Raw genomic sequence first — 21804 nt, 5'->3', positions numbered from 1 at the left:
TTTGTAAACTAAAAATAAATGAAGAGGCCACCAAACAGGCTTTGTGTGAGCAACATCGCTGTTTATTTCACCGGGTGCAGGCAGGGTGAGTCTGAAAAGAGAGTCAGCAAAGCGTGGTGGATTGTCATTAGTTCTTATAGGTTTTGGGATAGGCGGTGAAGTTAAGAGCAATGTTTTGTGGGCGGGGTGGATCTCACAAAGTACATTCTCAAGGGTGGGGAGAATTACAAAGGACCTTCTTAAGGGTGGGGGAGATTACAAAGTACATTGATCAGTTAGGGTGGGGCAGGAACAAATCACAATGGTGGAATGTCATCAGTTAAGGCTATTTTTACTTCTTTTGTGGATCTTCAGTTACTTCAGGCCATCTGGATGTATACGTGCAAGTCACACAGGGGATGCGATGGCTTGGCTTGGGCTCAGAGGCGTGACATTCCTGCCTTCTTATATTAATAAGAAAAATAAAACAAAATAGTGTTGAAGTGTTGGGGCGGTGAACATTTTTGGGGGGTGGTATGGAGAGAGAATGGGAGATGTTTCTCAGGGCTGCTTCAGGCGGGATTGGGGTGGCGTGGAAACCTAGAATGGGAGAGATTAAGCTGAAGGGAGGTCTTGTGGTAAGGGGTGATATTGTGGGGATGTAAGAAGAAACATTTGTTGTATAGAATGATTGGCGATGGCCTGGATACGGTTTTGGATGAATTGAGAAACTAAATGGAATAAGAGAAGGAGAAAAACAGGTATAAAAGGTCTAAGAATTGGGAGGACCTAGGACATCTGATTAGAGAGTACCTAAGGAGATTCAGCATAGTCCTGCCAGCAAAGATTATTTATTTACTTCAAGAGTTTAGAGTGGCAGTTTGGGTATAGCACCAGGAGATATCAGCTGTGATGGCTTGGAGAAACAGTGTAAACCGGCAGTGTAAACAAGAGCAGGGCATGTATGAGTAGTTGAGAACGGTGAATAGGAGTATGACTAGAAAAAAGATAGTAGGGATGACAAGTTTTTTTGGGGCACAGTCTAAGTGGTGGGGGTGGCTTCGTAAAGCCCTGTTGCAAAAAGTAGGGTAAGGACGAAAAGATCTAATAGAATGAAGGGATGTATTAGGCTCATAAGTGTTATTACTGTTCTTCAGAAATACGAGTGAGTTTAAGGGAAGTAGGGGAAAGTACTTGCGACTTCCAGGAGGAAGAGGAGGGATTAGGCTAGCTGTCCAATGGACACAGCTTTATTCTGGAATGGTGAAACCAGTGGGGAGGATCCTGCAGGCGGATGGCAGTCGGGGTACTATAGATGACTAAGTAGGGTCCGGTCCATCGAGGTTGTAGAGTTTGAGGGGTCAGATTCTTAACAAGAACTGATCATCCAGCTAGGGTGTCTTCATATGGCTGGGGATCTGGAGTAGGCAAGAGAAGATTAGCAGCCTGGCGAATTTGCTGTCTAGCCTGCTGGAGGACTGGAAGATAGTCGCCTAGAGGGCTGGTGTCTGGATGAGGTTAGGGCCAAGCAAGAAAGTGCATCCCTATAAAAGTTCAAATGGACTGTACCCTGTAGCATCTGGAGGACAGGCTCTGATTCTGAGAAGAGCAAGAGGTAGAAGTACTGTCCAATCCTTTTTAAGTTGGAGGCTGAGCTTGGTGAGGTGTGCCTTTAAAAGACCATTAGTCCGTTCCACCTTTCCTGAAGATTGAGGATGGTAAGGGATATGAAGGTTCCACTGAATACCAAGAGCCTGAGAAACTGCTTGGGTAATTTGGCTAGTAAACGCTGGTCCGTTATCAGACTGTATAGAGGTGGGAAGGCCAAACCGAGGAATTATGTCCGACAGAAGGGAAGAAATGACTGTGGTGGCCTTCTCAGACCCTGTGGGGAAGGCCTCTACCCATCCAGTCAAGGTGTCTACCCAGACTAACAGATATTTTAGTTTTCTGACTCGAGGCATATGAGTAAAGTCAATTTGCCAGTCCTGGGCAGGGGCAAATCCTCGAGCTTGATGTGTAGGAAAGGGAGGAGGCCTGAACAATCCCTGAGGGGTAGTAGAATAGCAGATGGAACACTGAGAAGTTATTTCCTTGAGGATAGATTTCCACGATGGAAAGGAAATGAGAGGTTCTGAGAGGCGGGCTAGTGGCTTGTACTATAGCATAGCCTGCCTTTGCTGGTGTGTGGCGATTAGGCCTGGTGGAACTGCCATCAATAAATCAAGCGTGATCAGGGTGAGGAACAGGAAAGAAGGAAATATGGGGAAATGGGGTGAATATCAGGTGGATCAGAGAGATACAGTCATGGGGGTCAGGTGTGGTATCAGGAATAATGTGGGAGGCCAGATTGAAGTCTGGGCCAGGAACAATGGTAATTGTGGGACTTAACAAAGAGTGAGTACAGCTGAAGGAGCTGGGAAGCAGAAAGTATATGCGTCAGGTATGAGGAAGAAAATAGATTTTGGAAGTTATGAGAACTGTAGAGAGTGAGTTGAGCATAGTTTGTGATTTTGAGGGCCTCTAAAAGTATTAATGCAGCGGCAGCCACTGCACGCAGACATGAGGGCTAGGCTAAAACAGTAAGGTCAAGTTGTTTGGACAGAAAGGCTACAGGGTGCGGTCCTGGCTCTTGTGTAAGAATTCTGACTGCACTAACCATGCCTAGGAAGGAAAGGAGTTGTTGTTTTGTAGAAGGTGCTGGGGTTTGAGAGATCAGTCAGACACGATTGGCAGGGAGAGCACGTGTGTTTTTATGAGAATTATGCCAAGATAGGTAACAGATGAGGAAGAAATTTGGGCTTGATTGAAGTAATGGGGGCTGTCTGTGAAGCTTTGCAGCCGTACAGCCTAGGTAATTTGCTGAGCTTGATGGGTGTCAGGGTCAGTCCAAGTGAAAGTGAAGAGAGGCTGGGATTAAGGGTGCAAAGGAATGGTAAAGAAAGCATGTTTGAGATCTAGAACAGAATAATGGGTTGTAGAGGCAGGTATTGAGGATAGGAGAGTATATGGGTTTGGCACCATGGGGTGGATAGGCAAAACAATTTGGTTGATAAGGAGCAGATCCTGAACTAACTTGTAAGGCTTGTCTGGTTTTAGGACAGGTAAAATGGGGGAATTGTAAGGAAAGTTTATAGGCTTTAAAAGGCCATGCTGTAGCAAGCGAGTGATAACAGGCTTTAATCTTTTTAAAGCATGCTGTGGGATGGGATATTGGCGTTGAGTGGGGTAAGGGTGATTAGGTTTTAATGAGATGGTAAGGGGTGCATGATCAGTCGCCAAGGAGGGAGTAGAGGTATCTCATATTTGTGGGTTAAGGTGGGGGGATACAAGAGGAGGATGCAAAGGAGGCTTTGGATTGGGAAGAAGGGTGGCAATGAGATATAGCTGTAGTCCAGGAATAGTCAGGGAAGTAGATAATTTAGTTAGTGTCTCAGCCTAATAAGGGAACTGGGCAGGTGGGGATAACTAAAAAGGAGTGCTTAAAAGAGTATTGTCTAAGTTGGCACCAGAGTTGGGGAGTTTTAAGAGGTTTAGAAGCCTGGCCGTCAATACCCACAACAGTTATGGAGGCAAGGGAAACAGGCCCTTGAAAAGAAGGTAATGTGGAGTGGGTAGCCTCCGTATTGATTAAGAAGGGGACGGGCTTACCTTCCACTGTGAGAGTTACCGGAAGCTCGGCATCCGTGATGGTTTAGGGGGCTTCCGAGGCGATCGGGCAGTGTCAGTCTTCAGCCACTAAGCCGAGAAGATCTGAGAAGGAGTCAGTCAGAGAGCCTTGGGCCAGAGTTCCAGGGGCTCTGGGAGTGGCTGCCAGGTGAGTTGAACAGTCTGATTTTCAGTGGGGTCCCACACAGATGGGACGCGGCTTAGGAGGAATCCTGGGCTGCGGGCATTCCTTGGCCCAGTGGCCGGATTTCCGGCACGTGTAGCAAGCTCCTGTGGGAGGAGGTTCTGGAGGAACGCCTGGCCACTGCAGTTCAGGCGTTTGGAAGTTCTTGTGTGCTGGAGATGTGGCTGGGGTTTGTCTCACAGTGGAGGCAAGGAATTGCAACTTTTTTCTATTATTGTACACCTTGAAGGTGAGGTTAATTAAATCCTGTTGTGGGGTTTGAGGGCTGGAATTTAATTTTTGGAGTTTTATTTAATGTCGGGAGCAGATTGGGTAATACAATGTATATTGAGAATAAGATGGCCTTTTGACCTTTTAGGGTCTAGGGCTGTAAAGCATCTCAGGGTTGCTGCCAAACAAGTCATGAACTGAGCTGGATTTTTATATTTGATGAAAAAGAGCCTAAACGCTATCTGATTTGGGATAAAGAAAAAGGAGCATTAACCTTGACTATGCCTTTGGCTTTTTAAGATTAAATTGCTGGGCAGGTGGGGGAGGGCTAGTCATGGAACAAAACTGCAAGCCGGACCAGGTGTGAGGAGGGGAGGTGATAAAAAGATTATAGGGTGGAGGAGCGGAGGCTGAGGAAGAATTGGGACCTAGCTCGGCCTGGCGAGGAGGGGAGAGGTCAGATGGGTCTGTAGAAAAGGAAGATTAGAAAGACTCAGTGACGCTTGGGGTTGGGACTGAGGGGACAGGCAGGAGGGAAAGAAGAAAGATTTGGGATGAGTTGCACTGGGCACAGAGACTAGGAAGGGACTGATGTGTAAAAGAATGCCTGGATGTCAGGCACCTCAGACCGTTTTCCTATTTTACAACAAGAATTATTTAGATCTTGCAGGATGGAAAAATTCAAAGTGCCATTTTCTGGCTATTTGGAACTACTGTTGAGTTTGTATTGGGGTCAAGCGGCATTGCAGAAGAAAATAAGGCATTTAGGTTTTAGGTCAGGTGTGAGTTGAAGAGGTTTTAAGTTTTTGAGAACACAGGCTAGGGGAGAAGAAGGAGGAATGGAAGGTGGAAGCTTACCCATAGTGAAGGAGGCAAGCCCAGAGAAAAGAGTAGAGACACGGAGAAGGGGTGGGGGGTTCTTGCCCTCCAGAAAAGCAGAGAAGGGGTTGGGGCATGGAAATAAGGGATTGGGGCACAGAGATAAAAGGTCAGGGTGTGGAAATAAGGGATTGGAGCACAGAGATAAGAGGTTGGGGTGCAGAAATAAGCGATTGGGGGGGTTCTTGCCCTCTAGGAAAGCGGGACTTGCCGCTAAGGGTGAAGGAGAAGGGGGTTGAGGGGTACTTGCCCCTTCCCCAGAAAAGCAGAGAAGGGGTAGAGACAAGGAGAGAAGGGGTTGGGGTACTTGCCCCTTCCCCAGAGAAGCAGAGAAGGGGTAGAGACAAGGAGAGAAGGGATTGGGGTACTTGCCCCTTCCCAAGAAAAGCGGGACTTGCCGCTAAGGGTGAAGGACCAAGGCAAGTGTCCCTGCGTGGTCTGACACCCTTGAAACATGGGTGTATAATCAGAGAGGCATCCCTGCAATGATTAAACACAAAGGGAAGGCTGCCTTCCCAGTCCATGACAGGCGCTGGAGTTTTGGGTCCACGGATAAAACATGTCTCTTTTGTCTCTACCAGAAAATTAAAGGAATTGAAATTAAGAGAAGGGAGAGATTGAAGTGTAGCGCCAAGATTGAAAGAAGAAAGAGGTTGAGGGATAGTGAGGGAAGTTGGAGAAGAGAGTAAAAAGAGGCCGCTTACTGGATTTGAAATTGGTGAGATGTTTCTTGGGCTGGTCGGTCTTAGGACCTGAGGTCGTAGGTGGATCTTTCTCACGGAGCAAAGAGCAGGAGGACGGGGTATTGATCTCCCAAGGGAGGTCCCCCGATCCGAGTCACGGCACCAAATTTCATGTGCATCCGTGTGAAGAGACCACCAAACAGGCTTTGTGTGAACAACATGGCTGTTTATTTCACCTGGGTGCAGGCGGGCTGAGTCCGAAAAGAGAGTCAGCAAAGGGTGGTGGATTATCATTAGTTCTTATAGGTTTTGGGATAGGCAGTGAAGTTAAGAGCAATGTTTTGTGGGCAGGGTGGATCTCACAAAGTACATTGTCAAGGGTGGGGAGAATTACAAAGAACCTTCTTAAGGGTGGGGGAGATTACAAAGTACATTGATCAGTTAGGGTGGGGCAGGAACAAATCACAATGGTGGAATGTCATCTGTTAAGGCTATTTTTACTTCTTTTGTGGATCTTCAGTTACTTCAGGCCATCTGGATGTATACGTGCAAGTCACAGGGGATGCGATGGCTTGGCTTGGGCTCAGAGGCCTGACAGTTTCATATTGAATTTCTGAAGCCTTTTTGAAGGAGGCAGTCAGATCTGCCTCTAGCTCAGTGAGCAGAGGGATGACTTTGAATAGAATGGGAGGGAGGTTTGACCTAAGCAGTCCCCAGCTTGACTTTTCCCTTTAGTTTAGTAATTTGGGGACCCCAAGATTTTCCTTTCACAGAATCTAAGAGTGGCAGTGGCCAACCCAGAGATTTGCTTTATCTGTGATGGTCGTCTGAAACCTCTGCCCATTCTTTGGAACACAGGCCATAGAGGGAGTTGAGGCCCTTTGTTTTGGGTTAAATGGAGGTTGCCAGGTAGAGGGTGCTAAGTGAAAATGTTTTATACACAACATGCTGTTTACAAACAATAGTAGTTCTCCTGTCCAGCCTGCCTCCGCTGGATTTCTCTGTATGTAAGTTCCCACCCCCTCCATGCTAATAAACCTTCTGTCTCCAGGTCTCTTCTTTGGCCTCTCAGACATGGTGCCATCCCTACTGGAGTCAATAGGGGACTGGTAGGACAGTCCCACAAGTAGAAGAAACACTGATTCATTGGATGCTTCATGAGCACCTTCTCCAGGTCAGGCACTTTCTAGGAGCTGGAGAAATATCCAGGAACAAAACAGACAAGTATTCCTGTATTCAGGGAGCTATGTTATAGCAGGGGGGATATAGGCAAATATTAAGAATAAATAGAAATAAGTTAACACAAATTAAGCTTCTTCCAGATTATCCCACCACAATGGCATCATCCCAACTTTAAAATATATATAGTTTTTCCTAGTGGCAATTTAATTCAGACCATAATGGCCAAAATGATTGCTTTTGTAAACTAAAAATAAAATTCTAAGCCTTCCAGCCCTTTGATTGGACCCCTCCTCTCAGCTAAGGGAATTCTAAAGTTAACCTGAAAACCTAGTTCAGGCCAGGATGGGAAGCCGGGGTCAGGGGTGTTGGCCATGCCTCATTATGCCCTCCACCCTTTGGAATTCAGGGACAACTGACCAGCATTAACATCAAAACAGACATCTTAAGACTTCTTGTAACAATAAGGCTTCAAGTCCCAGCCTGACTTTAGTATAGCATCACTTGACAAATAGCAGGCCCTGAATGAAATCGAAGCATTTTACCCTAAAATATATTTATTTGACATATTTTGAAATGGCCCTGCAAAGCTTTCTCTCATGGGGAAAAAATCTACATTCTGTAGAGACTCCCTTTCCCTTTCCAGTTCTTTTCTTCTGATCCAGGAGAGAATTAACTAAGAGTCTAGCACCTTTTTAAGTCTGATAAGAAACATTTACAATCTATTGTCTCTGAAGCCTGCTACCTGGAGGCTTCATCTGCTTAATAAGAACCTTGGTCTCCACAACTCCTTATCTTAGTCCAGACACTTCTTTCTATGGATTCCAGGTCTGCAGATAAACTCTTTCAACAAATTGCCAATCAAAAAATCTTTGAATCCATCTATGACCTGGAAGTCCCGCTTCTCGCTCCCACTTCAAGTTGTCCTGTCTTTCCAGACTGAACCAATGTATATCTTACATGTATTGATGGATGTCTTATGTCTCCCTAAAATGTATAAATCCCAGCTGTAGCCAAACTGAAGCAGAGCCATTTGTCTGGGAAAATACCTGAGGTTTGTTACCTCACGGCCAAGGAAATCAAGGACACGAACACACAAGGAGTAGTTTAAGAGTGGATGTTTAAGGCCGGTCATGGTGGCTCACGCCTGTAATCCCAGCACTTTGGGAGGCCGAGGCGGTTGGATCACGAGGTCAGGAGTTCAAGACCAGCCTGGCCAAGTTGGTGAAACCCCGTCTTTACTAAAAATGCAAAAATTAGCCAGGCGTGGTGGCACATGCCTGTAATCCCCGCTACTCAAGAGGCTGAGGCAGAGAATTGCTTGAACCCAGGAGGCGGAGGTTGCAGTGAGCCAAAATCGCGACACTGCACTCCAGCCTGGGCCACAGAGCGAGACTCTGTCTCAAAAGAAAAAAAAAAAGGACGTTTAATAGGCGAGAGAAAGAGAAAAGGTCTCTCTTCTGCATAGAGAAGGGGGTCCTGCGTGGGTCTTCCATTTCCATGGTGAAATGCACGTGGTTTTATAGATGAGTTTGAGGAGGTGATGTCTGATTTACATAGGGGATGAGAGATTGGTTGGATCAGGTGTGCCATTTACATAGCACACGAAGAAGCTGGCCGCCCCACCCTCATCTGTTATCATGCAAGTGAGTTCTCTACCTGGCCGGCACCATGTTGCTTGCTTCTTTACACGTGGTTGACAAAGAAAAGGGAAGATGGAGCCTCCATGTTGTGCACAGCTGCCGGCATTCACCCCTGCAAGCTTCTAGCTTGCTTTTTTATGTCTGCAGCTTGATTTTTCAGGCTTCTCTTTGTTAGAAAAAAAATGATTTGGGGGCTGCTTTTTATTAAAAGGGAAACCTAGCCAAAGACTCTCTTACCCTCACTAACTGCCTAAATAATTTCTTTCTAGCTCCTGTATCAAAATTTCCTTGGGCACATGTCAGAAACTCCTGAGGCTGTGCCACGGGCACATCCTTAACCTTGGCAAAATAAAATTCTAAGTTGACTGAGATTGTCTCAGATACATTTTGGTTTATACTTTCATCTCCTAAAGCTACAGAGGCTAGTCATAGAGTTCTGCAGAGATCTGTTTAAGTTTCTTTTTCAAAAACCCACACGGGTAAAAGAATAGACCCAGGAAAATCCTTCCTAAGTCCCACAGTAATATTTGAGAAAGCTCAGCCTTATACAGGTATATGACTAAATTCTGTACATCTGAAACTAGGGCAAATCCAAGTAGAAGATGTATTGCATGTTAAGCCAGTAAGGGCTGGTTCAAAAATCATAGAAAGAAAGAGTCTGCACTATTGAAAACACTGAGAGAATCCACCTCAGCAGATTGCTACCCGGCAGCCATCTTTCCCAAACAGCTGTTGGGACCAAGGGAAACTTCCCGTTCACCCTCTGAATGTTCACTGAAAGATCATCTCACAAAAGGCAGATTCGTTGGTGAAAAGGCATTCGAATTTTATTAACACGTACATGAGGAGAATCACAGTGATTACCTCCTGCCAAGGGGATTTGGACGCTTCTCTAGCATCCTGGCAAAACAGATTATGGGAAGAGGAGAAGAGGAATTCTTTTGAGGAACAGTAAAGGCTTGCTGGGAAGAACCATGGATCCTGGAACAGAGATTACTTGTAAACACTTCTCTTTGGAATTTGAATAAGCCTGAGAGGCAGACATTACCTTGTGAAAAGGTCTGTTCAGGTGTGGTTACATTCTTGGTCTTACAGTGACAGGAAGACAAAATAATTGTTCTCCTTTTTGGTGGGGAGGGGGGTCCAGACTTAAGGGAGATAATGGAACTTAACAACTTTATCCTGTGCTTTGAGAGAGATGGTGGGAAGAGGGGAAGGTTGAAGAGACCTTAAGGCTTCTTCTACAGTTCAGCATGTCAAAGCACCATATTTTGGAGAATGGTTTCTGAGCTCCAACACTGCTGAAGATGATTCTGTGGCAGAGTTGCCTAAGGGAGAAGGCATATACCTCTAACTAATGAATCTTACGTATTGAGAAGTAAATGTCTTCCAGAAACTTCATTTACTGTAGGTATTTACACACAAATATACAAACACACAAGTATACAAACCCAGATATTTAAAATTTAAAATTTTAAAATTTTAAATTTTAAATTTCCACCTTGTCCCTATTTTCTGTGAGAGCTTGATCTTGAGATAGGAGTTTGGCAGGACTGGTTTCACAAGATACAGGTCACAAAGACCCCACTGATAAAGCAGGATGCGGGAAAGAAGCCAGCCAAACTCCACCAAAACCAAGATGGTGACAAAAGTGATCTCTGGCCATCCTCACTGTGCATTATACACTAATTATAATACATTAGCACGCTAAAGGAAACCCCAACCAGTGCCATGGCAGTTTATAGATGCCATCACAACGTCTGGAAGTTACCTTGTATGGCCTGAAATGGGGAGGAACCCTCAGTTATGGGAATTCCCGGCCCCTTTCCTGGAAAACTCAGATGAATAATCTACCCCTTATTTAGGATATGCTCAAGAAATAACCATAAAAGTAGCCAACTAGAAGATCTTGGGGCTGCTCTGCCTGTGGAGTAGCCACCCTTTTATTCCTTTACTCTCTTAATAAACTTGCTTTCACTTTACTCTTTTGACTGGCTCTTGAATTCCTTCCTGCTCAAAGCCAAGGACCCATGTGGCCTCCTGGGATGAACCCTAATTTGGGGGTTTGCCCTGTGACATTGCCATTGGAGATTTTGCATGCCATGGAACATTCCAGCTCAAAACCTCAAAATCAGCTTGACTGATGTTTCTTGTCCTCTGGGAGTCAACTTACATGTCACATCCTGAGAGACCTTTCCTGACTAGTGTGAATATGCTCTTCAGCTCATACCTCCCACCCACATGGTTACTTCCTTTCAGAAGGGAAGGAAGAACTAAATATAATTTATCTTATCTGAACTAGATATAATGGGAAATCATCTCTTCACTCATTCATTTCCTTGCTCACTTGTTTATTGTATGTTGCCTCCACTAGAACAGGGGTCCCCAACCCCTGGGCCATGGACCAGTACCATACAGCAGTAGGCAAGCTGTGGGCAGGCAAGCATTACCACCTGAGCTCTGCCGCCTGTTAGATCGGAGGTGGCACTGGATTCTCACAGGAGTGTATAAAATTTATAAAAGAAAGAAGATTGATTCACAGTTCCACATGGCTGGGGAGGCCTCACAATCATGGCAGAAGGTAAATTAGGAGCAAAGTCATCTCTTACATGGTGGCAGGCAAGAGAGCTTGTGCAGGGGAACTCCCATTTATGAAACCATCAGGTCTTGTGAAACTTATTCACTACCACAAGAACAGTATGGGGGAAACCTCCCCCATGATTCAATTATCTCCACCTGGCCCCACCCTTGACATGTGGGGATTATCACAATGCAAGGTAAGATTTGGGTGAAGACACAGCCAAACCATATCAGAGCACAAAACCTGTTGTGAACTGCACATGGAGGAATCGAGGTTGTGTGCTCCTTATGAGAACCTAATGCCTGATGATCTGAGGTGAAACAGTTTCATCCTGAAACCAACCACGCCCCAGTCTATGGAAAAATTGTCTTCCACAAAACCAGCCCCTTGTGCCAAAAGTTTGAGGACTGTTGCACTAGAAGAAAAGTTCCATGGGAACAGGAAACTTATCTTGCTTTCTCTCTCCCAGCTCCTAAAACAGTGTTTGGCAAGAGTGAATGTTCAATAAATATTTGCTGAATGGGTGAATCAAAAACTGTGTCAGGTTTGATTTAACAAAGCAGCTTTGGTTTTGCTGCTACCTTAAGCAACCATCTTGTGTCCCTTCCTTTTTCCCATATTTCAGTGTTCTGCCCCCACTTTTGATGGCTCCCTTCTCAGACTGGCTTCTTATCCAGCCCCCTTGCCTCCCTGAAGCAGCTCTCCTGAAGGCCAACCATGTCTTCTTCAAGGTTAGACCCAGCTTTGCCTCATTGACTTATCTCCAGATTGGGCACTGAGGAAACTTCTTGACATGCTTCTCACAGATGTGACCCTAGATGAAACTGAGCCCTTCGCTTGTCTACATGGTTTTATTTTCCCTTCTCAAGTATGTGTTCCTCCTACTGTCATATAAATAAGAATGTTCTTTGAAGTTGTATCTTTAGAGCTTTGCTTTTCTCTCTTTCCTCTTTACGTCAAAGATGGCACCTCCTGCTCTGTCATCATCGTCTCTTACATGGATGGTACCTATGGAAGTCAGTACAGCAGTTTACAAATGGTGGTCTTTTGCCATAGGCACATGTAGAATCATTTTTCTGCATTCATAAGATCTCAGGAGTGATAATGTGACTCACTTTGCCAATGAAATGTAAGAAAAAAATGTCATATGTCACTTCCGGGCAGAAATTTTGTAAGCCAATGCTTGCTCCTTTCCCTTATTCTCCTTTCCCTTTCTCTGTAATCATTGAGAACATATGGATGAAACTGACTTGATTGTCCATTAGAACAAATATTTATGATTTTTTTTAATCAACATAGAAATTGAGGCTCCCTAGTCTTAAAACTTGAAACTTAACATTTGTCTCATTTGAGTTTCTTTCTCAGGAAACTTACCTTCAGGCAAGGAACTGAAACTCACCAGATCACCACAACCAGTGAGATGCCAGACCCCTCATCCATCATAATTGCTTCCTTACTCTTTTCTAATTCCTGTTTTCCTACCTTGCCTGCTACATAAACCCCCCAATTTTAGTCGATTGGGGAGACAGATTTGAGACTATCTCCTGTTCTCCTTGGCTGCAGCACCCTATCAAAGCCTTCTTCCCTGGCAATACTCGTTGATTTAGTGATTGGCTTTCTATACAGTGAGCAGCAGGACCGATAGTGTTTGGCTCTGTGTCACCACCCAAATTTCATGTCGAATTGTAATTCCCAATGTTAGGGGAGGGACCTGGTGGGAGGTGATTGGATCATAAGGGTGGAATTCCCCCTTGCTGTTCTTGTGATAGTGAATGAGTTCTCACAAGATCTGGTTGTTTAACAGTGTGTAGCATCTCCCCCTTTGCTCTCTCTCTCTCCTGCTCTGCCATGGTAAGATGTGCTTGCTTCCCTTTCAGTTTCTACCATTATTATAAGTTTCCTGAGGCCTCCCAGCCATGCTTTGCTTCCTATACAGCCTGTGGAACTGTGAGTCAATTAAACCTCTTTTCTTCATAAATTATCCAGTCTCAGGTAGTTCTTTATACCAATGTGAGAACAGACTAATACAAGGACCTAGACCAAACCCCTGCTATTTCAGTAACAGATTTTGGTTCCCTAACTGGGAACGTGCTGCTTGTGGCTTGACCACAGTGGGCTGGCAGAGTTTCAGAAGCCCTCCTAAGCAGCTGCCCACCTTTTTTTGGCCAGAGGTTGGTTTCAGTCTCTCTCTCTCTAGCCCCACCGTTGCCAGCTCCAACTGCATTCTTGATTGCCTAAGAACAGCCTTTTTAATTTGGCATCAGTGTCTGGGTAGGTGAGTGTCTTTTGTGGGCTCAGAGAGCAGGATCAGCTCCTCTCAATTTGGGAAATTCTGGAGGAATTTCCATTTGTAGATGGAACAAGCCCAACTGTCAAAGAGGAAAGCACTCTGACTGTTTCAGTTTGTACACTCTTGGGGCTTGTTAGTAATTGCTTGTGTGTCTTGGCAACTGAGTGTCTTTTGTGGTTACCAGACAGTGAGATCAGCTCCCCTCAGCTTGAGAAATTTCAAAGGACTTTCCATTTGCAGGTTGAACAAGCCAAACAGACAGAGAGAGGAAGCACCTCAACTGTTTCAGTTTGGGCCTTTTGGCCCTTGTTTGCTGCTGCAACAGTTGTATTATATTTTGTTGATTGTTTTGTGTATGTTTTGATGTAGTTGTGGGAGGTCGGGATTTGATCCCACAGCGCTGCCCACTTTGATGCATCCTTCACGGTTGGTCTGAATATAGTTGTAGGCTGATGGCTATGGCCATCCCACCTCAAAAGTGCCAGGTCTCATCTCATCTTGGAAGGTCTTTGAATTATAGGGCAGTCTTCATTTTGCTGTTGAATAGGAAAGCAGGAGGGACTTCCATGTACCCAGGATTTTATGCTGCTGTTCTAAGCAGGGTTGGGCCTAGTTAGTACATAATGTTCTTCTGTAGTGTGTTTGGCCCCAGTATTCTTTGGAGTTTGGGAGAGTTTGACCTCTAAAAGGAAATCTAACTACCATGGAAACTGCTTTACCCAAAGTTTTGGTTCACAGCCTTCATCGGATTACCTATCAGAGCAAATAAAGTTTAGCCATGTGGACAGGTCCCAATTTTGTCAGAAATCATTTGGATCCAGCTATCTTTTACAGACTAGTAAGTTTGCATTGCTGTCTCATGGCTAGAATTCCAAGGTAAAAGTTACTGGCTCTTTATTTATATGGGTGTACATGTATCTGAATGTTACGTGTTTTCATACAGTACCAAATTGGCCTATAACTAAAAGAGCACTCATAAGTTAAGTAAATAAGTCCAAGCATTTTTCAAATGTGTATGACTGAAGTAAATGTATCATAAGCAAGCTGGCTTTAAGATTATTAGTAAAATAAAAATAAAAATGTCTTCAGAGTTGTCAGCATATATTTTTGTCTGGGTTTTATATTTGTCTCTGCTGGAAATTTTAAGGTGTCAGGGTTTGGCACAAAAGGTTGTAAGACTGCAAAGCCAGACAAGAACAAAATGATCTTTCTGTGATTTTTTTTTTAAATGAATAAAACTAATTTAATGTTGTTGGTTTAACAAAAACAGGTGAATCTTCTGCGTTATGGGTGAAAATACCTATGTGTGTGCCTTTAAGATTCTTACCTAGATGAATGCCTATTAGGCACCGGTCATAAAAATGGTTAACAAGGAAATCATTACTAGCTTTTTCTGATATCACTGTTTTCATAAGTCATCTAGATAAACTGCTAAAAATGAATGAAATATAAATGGGGTAAATACTGTAAGGGAATCTTTGTGGATTTAAAAATCTTCTAATTATTTTGGAAGCTCATTAGATGTCTGGGTCATTTCCAATAAAGAAAGGGTTATGACCTAGAGAAACACGTTTTTAAAAATTGTGGAAAGTTTTCATCTGTGAAATGCTAAATTCTGATAGACAGTTCAGGATTTCTTACATCCTAGGTTTTCACTAAAATTTAAGGTTACTAAAAATAAGAATTCTAGTTAATATATAATTCTGTATATAAAGCATGCCAAAGAAGATGTGTCCTTATTGAGAAAAAGAATAATTTTGTCTAAATTCAGAAGTTATCTAAAGGTTGATTCAAATTATGGACTTGGAAAAGTTATTTATGAAACAACGAAAAAAAAGGAAACACTAAGTAGGGGAAAGACATGTAAAAAAGTTACGGATATGAAGATGTATTTTTGGTAAGAAAGGTTATAAGGAAAAGAGAATGATTTTATATGAGAAAGGATCTTGTATAAGAGGCTTTGATTTTAATTCTATAATCTGTTTCTTTTTGAAAACTTCTCAGAGTTCTATCTCTGAGGTGCAACTTTGTTGTGTCTTGCTGTTTTCAGCTTTTTTCTTTCTCATTGTAAAGGCCTGAGATGATAACTCTCTCCTTCAACTTTTTTGTCAGCTTCTGTAACTTTATTTTTCCTCCTGTTCTAACTGATGTTGTGGCCTGATGCTTGAATGTTTATTTTGAAGGTCTAGAAAAGTAATGTTTTCCTCTAGAATAATTTGATTCTATACTCTTGGCTTTTCTTGCCATGTTGAAATTGTTCATCAGGTTTGACTTTCAGGTTATCTAAATAAGCTTCCCATAAAGAGAAGCAATCACCACCTTAGGAGGCTGAGGCAGGCAGATCACTTGAGGCCAGGAGTTCAAGACCAGCCTGGCCAACATGGTGAAACGCTGTCTCTACTAAAAATACAAAAATTAGCCAGGTGTGGTGGTGGGCGCCTGTAATCCCAACTACTCAGGAGACTGAGGCAGGAGAACCACTTGAACCCAGGAGACAGAGGTTGTAGAGAGCCGAGATCTCGCCACTGCACTCCAGCCTGAGTGACAGAGTGAGACTCCATCTCAAAAAAAAAAAAAAAAAAAGAGAGAAGCAGTCACGCTGTGGAAGGTCTTTCTTTGCCTTTTGCTATATGCCCCCCCAAAAAATTTTATATTTTACCAAGATAATTCCTGTGTCATCATTATTAGGTTTTTGATTGCTTAGGAATACTGGGACTTAGAGGCATTGAGGAATTAAGGCTTTTACATCACGTAATTTTCTCTATTGCTAATAAAGTCCTTGTGCTGTTGAGTTACAGAGCTTTGGCTGGGTCCGAAAAAGGCACTGCCTTCTGCTAAATCTTGAACACTGACACCAATCAAAGCCTCATCTTCAGACTGAGAGAAGATGGCAATCAAAATGAACTGCTTTCATAAGACATGAGGCCAGAAGTTAAAGTGTTTGATCTCTCTTGGCCCAGGGACTATTGGGGAAGAGGTGGGCATGTGAGATTGTAGGGCTGATTTTGAGGGATAAGATTAGTTCAGATTTTCTCTAGAAAGTAAACAATATCAAAAGCACACTTTTCCAAGGCCAGTGTCTGGGCCCCTGTGTCAGAATCACAGGATTCTCCTACAGCACTGACCTGCTCTTTCATAGAGAATTGTGAAAGGTTATAAAAGGCTTATGAAAATCTTACCTGTGGTCAAATTTATTAAACTTGGATAGAATTATTTATAAAGATTTATTGAAATTAGCTTTAACATAAATAATACATCATACCAAGGTAAAATTTGTTTTTATCTTTTGAATAAAATTTTCATATAATATTAATAAGAGATAATAAAAGTTTTTTGTTTATCTTTTGAGTAAACTGCAGGAAAAAAAGAGGAGAGAGAGAGAGACTTTTTTTTTTTTGGCCTCATGCTGTCTTTATTAGGCCTTATTATTTGGTAATTAGTATTTTGGCTAAATGAATACCTATTTTATAGTGACCTGTGATATTATTTTGTGATACGAAATGTTTTAAACCTTTGTTATTTGACCAACTTTCCAAAATCAAAATTTCAAGTTCTAAATTCAGTCTTTTGACTTGAAACTAACTTTTTAGATAGTAGGGTTCCCTGAAGCCCAAGAGGGACATATTATTTTCATTTGATATGTTAAAATTTTACAGGAAGCTTTGTCAAATATGAAATGGAGTTTGGCTTTCTTTGGGTTATATTTATATAAATGTGTTCCAAAATTGTATGAGATTCCTAAAATCCTGATTTATCTTAGTATATTATCAGGAATAATTATGATTATTATGTTAAATTGTCACAGAAATAACCAAATTTCCTTGTCAATTTTGTCTTTAACTATGGGTGTCTTAAGACTTTTGTCATCTACAATTATTGTTTCATTTTGATTCTTCTCAAAAAGCAGCTTACAATCAGCTATAGTCCAAAATTTGCTTTTGCAAATTGCTGATTATTTTTGTTTTTGTTTTTAGAGTCAACGAGGCTTTTTTTTTCCTTTTGAGCTAAGTATAGCCTTCGACTATTGTGTGGAGTATATCTTGTGATCAAAATTTGAAGCATATTTCTGTTTCTACCTGATTTCTGCAAAATTTGGAAACTGTGCATATTCCTAATTTATAGCAATAGTTATTTGCATAAGTTTAATAAAATTCTGTTTTCTTTTATAACTGGACACAATTGGAGGCACTGGTTATTTTACCAAGGCTTTGACTGGAATAATGTATTTTCAGATATGAGCAGAATGCTTTGAGGAATTGATGTTGACTTACAGAGCCTATGAAAGTCCCTTAAAAATACTGCCCTTGTACCTGGTCTACACAGTTCCTTTGCAGGGTTCCTGGCCTGTGGTAAGTAAAGAATGTCACTTTCTGACAGGCCCAGAAACCACAAGTTATTCTGGGACCTCAAGAAGAGAGGAATTCACCCAATTCATACAAGTATCTTCAGGCACAGATAAATCCTTGGCCGGGCTTGAGAGGTCTTTAATTTCAAATCTGAGATTCCTTATGAAAAGTTCCAGCAAAGCCCAATTTAAAAGAACCTATGAGAACAATAATTCTTGCTGTATTTTATGCAAATAATCAGGCCACCTAGAATAAGACTAACAATTTTGCAAATAAATTGGGTCTACTATGATTTGTCTTTGGTAGAAATGGGGGTTGGGAAAAAGAAAAATTGTGTTTCAAAAAAAAAAACACTAGAGTACACCTGTTATTAAATTAACCTTTGATTCTTGATGGCACTCTGGTCACCCATCATATGGAGCTGCAGCTGTGCTGCTTTCAGTTATTAAAGCTACAAGTTACCCATGGAATTTACAGATGGATTAAGCTCCTGGGGAGCTGGCTCACTGGATGCATAAGGAAATGTGAACTAACGAGGAAAAAAAATTAAATTCCTTAGTTATTGTTATCTATAATAGTTCCAAAGAAAGTAAGAGAGTGCGGAGTTCGGGCTTCAAACTAAACCAAGCTCAGATGTGAGACTGTTTGGATTCAGACCACTAGCCTCAAAGCTACCCACAAAAGGGAAAATTATGCCCGGGCACCAAAAAGCACCTCTGAGACCCGCAGTTTCCAAAAAGGTAGTCAATGTTGGAGAAAGGCAAAATCAAGTAATTATTGAAACCGGAGGGTATAATGTAAAGGGATAAGTTCTGTTTTGTAGATTGGTACCATCAGCTTCCTCAGAAACCTTTACTAAAATGGGTAGTGAGAATAACTAACTGAAGAGCAATGTCTTTGGTTTTAAATGCTGCAAAGTAGAAGAACCTGTTTTGGTTGACTCAGAACCCACCGCTCGCTAGTGAACAATCACAGATAAATATATATATTACAGGCACACAGGAGGTTATTCCCAAGACAATAGCCAGCCTGGTTGACTAGATAAAAGCCACTAATATCTGTTTACTTACTGAATACTTAAAGCCAGTAAGATCTGTTTACCCTGAGAAGGGAAACTGCTCAACTCCACTTATCAATGTCAAGTGGAGCACCTCAGATGAAGCAGATGATATGTTTCCTATGCAAACCAGTGGGGGCTGGCTTTATAATGGTAAGGGTATTAACTTTACCCTTTGGAAATATATTAACTACTTTCTCTGAGTTTACTTCCAATAGGCTCCAGTTCCCTACGGATGTGCCTCCTCACTCTTTGAAACTGAAACCAGAGAACCAAGTCATGCGGAGGACCAGCTGCAACCACAATGGATCGGCCCTTCTGAGGTGCTGCTGGCCAGCCACCCTTCTGTTCTTAACCAGTGTTGAGACTTGGATTCACCAGACTTGAGTAAAACCAGTCCCTTTGGGATCCCTCCAGGGAAAACAGTCATGGTCTTGTGAACCTTGGGAGGGCCTTAAGTTAGCATTCAAAGCCCAGACAAAGACGCTAGATAAGAAATCATAAAGTGAACATGCGGCTTTCAGGAACTTTCTCTTGGCTTCCCCAAGGGATCAACTCCATATTCTTTGGTATTATCTAAATTTGGGTTATCTATGTAATTTATTATCTTAGTCAATGTGGTGTAAAATGTTGCTCTAAAACCAAAATAAAAGTACCCCTGACTGATTCCAACCACAGGGGCAACATTTCCAAGCCTCTTCATGATCCCACAACATCCCTCCTCAGCATGAAGCAGCCAGAAAGATCGATGACCAGATTCCCCATGACTGAGGAATTGATCTATAGAAAAGGGGGACTGAAGTCATCCCTGTTGTCCCATAGAACTAACATTTACAGTTGTTTGAATAAACATAGAAACTGACCCTCCCTAGCCTTAAAACTTGAAACTTACATTTGTCTCATTTGAGTTCCTTCCTCAGGAAATCTACTCTCAGGCAAGAAACTAAAACTCACCGGATCATTTCATCTGAACAACAATATTCCAGACCACTCATCAATCATGATTGCTTCCTTACCTCCATGAATTCCTGCTTTCCCACCTCCCTGCTTCCCTGCTATATACACCTCCCGATTTTAGTCGGTCAAGGAGATGGCTTTGAGACCTTATCTCCCATTCTCCTTGGCTGCAGCACCTGATTAAAGCCCGCTTCCCTGTCAGTACTCATTGCCTCAGTGATTGGGATTCCGTCCGTGCAGCAAGCAACAGGACCTAGACTGAACCCCTGGCATTTTGGTAACATCGAGACAGAGCCTCTATTAAATGGAGCTCCTGAGTAACTAGGATGGACACAGTGCCCCTGATGAACCACAATGAACATGAAGCATGAGTTACAAATAAGCAGCATTGTTTCAAGTCACCAAGATGTTCATGTAGCTTATTATTGTAGCATAAGCTAATCTATGTTTACTGATACAACATCTCAATTTGTTTCTTTCTCTGAAGCGCAAGTTCTACTTCTCCTGCTGCCGTCAACATTTCTATATGATTTTACTTATAGAAGTACAAGCTCAACATATCTATTTCTATATTCATTATTTTTCCTCCCTAACCCAGAAGCAAAAGTCTCTTCCTGATTTTTTTTATTTTGGTCAATGGTACGAACACTCTTCTAAAAACCTAAACTTCATTCAATCACTTACAGTCATGTGCTGCATAATGATGTTTTGGTCATGACAGACCACAAATACGATGGTGGTCCCATAAAATTATAATGGAGCATATGCAGAAGCCTGATATGTGGCATTTGATACTGGCATTGCAGATTAAGTAGGGGAAATTATTGATATTCAGCAATGCTGCTGGGAAATTTGTTTTTCATATATATATATATACATATATATATACACACATATACATATATATATATACACACACACACACACATATGATCTAGGTTTCTGTAAGTACACTCTGTGATGTGTGCAGTACTGCAAAATCGCCTAATGATGCATTTCTCAGAATGTATCTCCATTGTTAAGTGATGCATGACTATTTTACATTTTGTCCCCACTTTATTTGCAACTCTGCCTTATGGTTCCCACAGGTGCCTCCTTGATTCTTGCTTTGGTCCCTCAATTCTTGCACTATTATACGTCTTGAGTAATTTTGCTGCTTTTATTCTCTTCCCTTTTATGATCAATTATCCTTCCTTTGTCATTAGCTATTCATGAATGTGATAAAAGTAAATATCTAGATTATATTATGCCTTTGCTCAAAACTCCGATGTGTCCCCATCATCTACTGAATAAACTCTCAATCCTTGATCTGGCATTTAAGACCCTGCATTCTTTCACCTCTAGTCTCATCTCCCCTACTCCTTTGCATGGATCTTACATGAGCACAACACCACATAGCCCACCATAAATGGGATATAACCTGTGATGGTTAATTTTATGTGTCAATGTGACTGGGACAGAGGATGCCCAGATATCTGGTTAAACTTTTTTGTTTTTTCTTTTTTTGAGATGGAATCTTCCTCTGTCACCCAGGCTGGAGTGCAATGGCGTGATCTCCACTCACTGCAACCTCCACTTCCCAGACTCAAGTGATTCTCCTGCCTCAGCCTCCAAAGTAGCTGGAATTACAGGCACGTGCCACCACACCCAGCTAATTTTTGTATTCTTAGTAGAGATGGGGTTTTACCGTGTTAGCCAAACTGGTCTTGAAATCCTGACCTCAAGTGATCCTCTTGCCTCTGCCTCCTAAAGTGCTGAGATTATAGGTGTGAGCCACCACGCCTGCCCTGGTTAAACATTATTTCTGGATGTGTCTGTAAGGATGTTTCTGGAAGAGATTTGTTTGAGTTGGTGAGCTGAGTAAAGTGAATTGCCTTCCCCCAGTGTTAGGATCATTCAACCTTTGAGGGCTCTGAACAAAAAGTCAGAGGAAGATGAATTCTTTCTCTCTGCCCAACTACTTAAGCTAGGTCATTGGTCTTCTCTTGCTCTTAGATGGAGGATTACACCAACAGCTCCCCAGGTTCTTAGGCCTGCAAGCTTGGACCGGAATTTCCTTTACCAACATTCCTGGGTCTCCAGCTTGCACACAGCAGATTGTGAGACTTTTCTACTTTCATAGTCATATGAGCCAATTCCTTATAAAA

General features: G+C 42.4%; 1 long non-coding RNA gene across 1 annotated transcript, besides 2 other annotated features; it reads left to right on the top strand.

The window, feature by feature from the left end:
- Nucleotides 7691–8446: an enhancer, noted in NCBI's record as "NANOG-H3K27ac hESC enhancer chr8:105295895-105296650 (GRCh37/hg19 assembly coordinates)". NCBI's record gives its function as "activates a minimal SCP1, AML or CMV promoter by ChIP-STARR-seq in naive H9 embryonic stem cells {active_cell/tissue: H9 hESC(naive)}" and the evidence as "EXISTENCE:reporter gene assay evidence [ECO:0000049][PMID:30033119]".
- Nucleotides 10788–10957: an enhancer, noted in NCBI's record as "active region_27793". NCBI's record gives its function as "activates an Ori minimal core promoter by ATAC-STARR-seq in GM12878 lymphoblastoid cells {active_cell/tissue: GM12878}" and the evidence as "EXISTENCE:reporter gene assay evidence [ECO:0000049][PMID:35858748]".
- Nucleotides 15760–20972, top strand: LOC124902065 (uncharacterized). Its single transcript, XR_007061179.1, has 2 exons — nt 15760–19023; nt 19621–20972. It is a non-coding gene; the product is annotated as an uncharacterized LOC124902065 (long non-coding RNA).
- The last annotated feature ends 832 nt before the right edge of the window (nt 20973–21804 follow it).

Source organism: Homo sapiens, chromosome 8, assembly GCF_000001405.40.
Source record: "Homo sapiens chromosome 8, GRCh38.p14 Primary Assembly".
NCBI classification, from domain to species: domain Eukaryota; kingdom Metazoa; phylum Chordata; class Mammalia; order Primates; family Hominidae; genus Homo; species Homo sapiens.
This window is presented reverse-complemented; position numbering and strand designations above follow the sequence as displayed.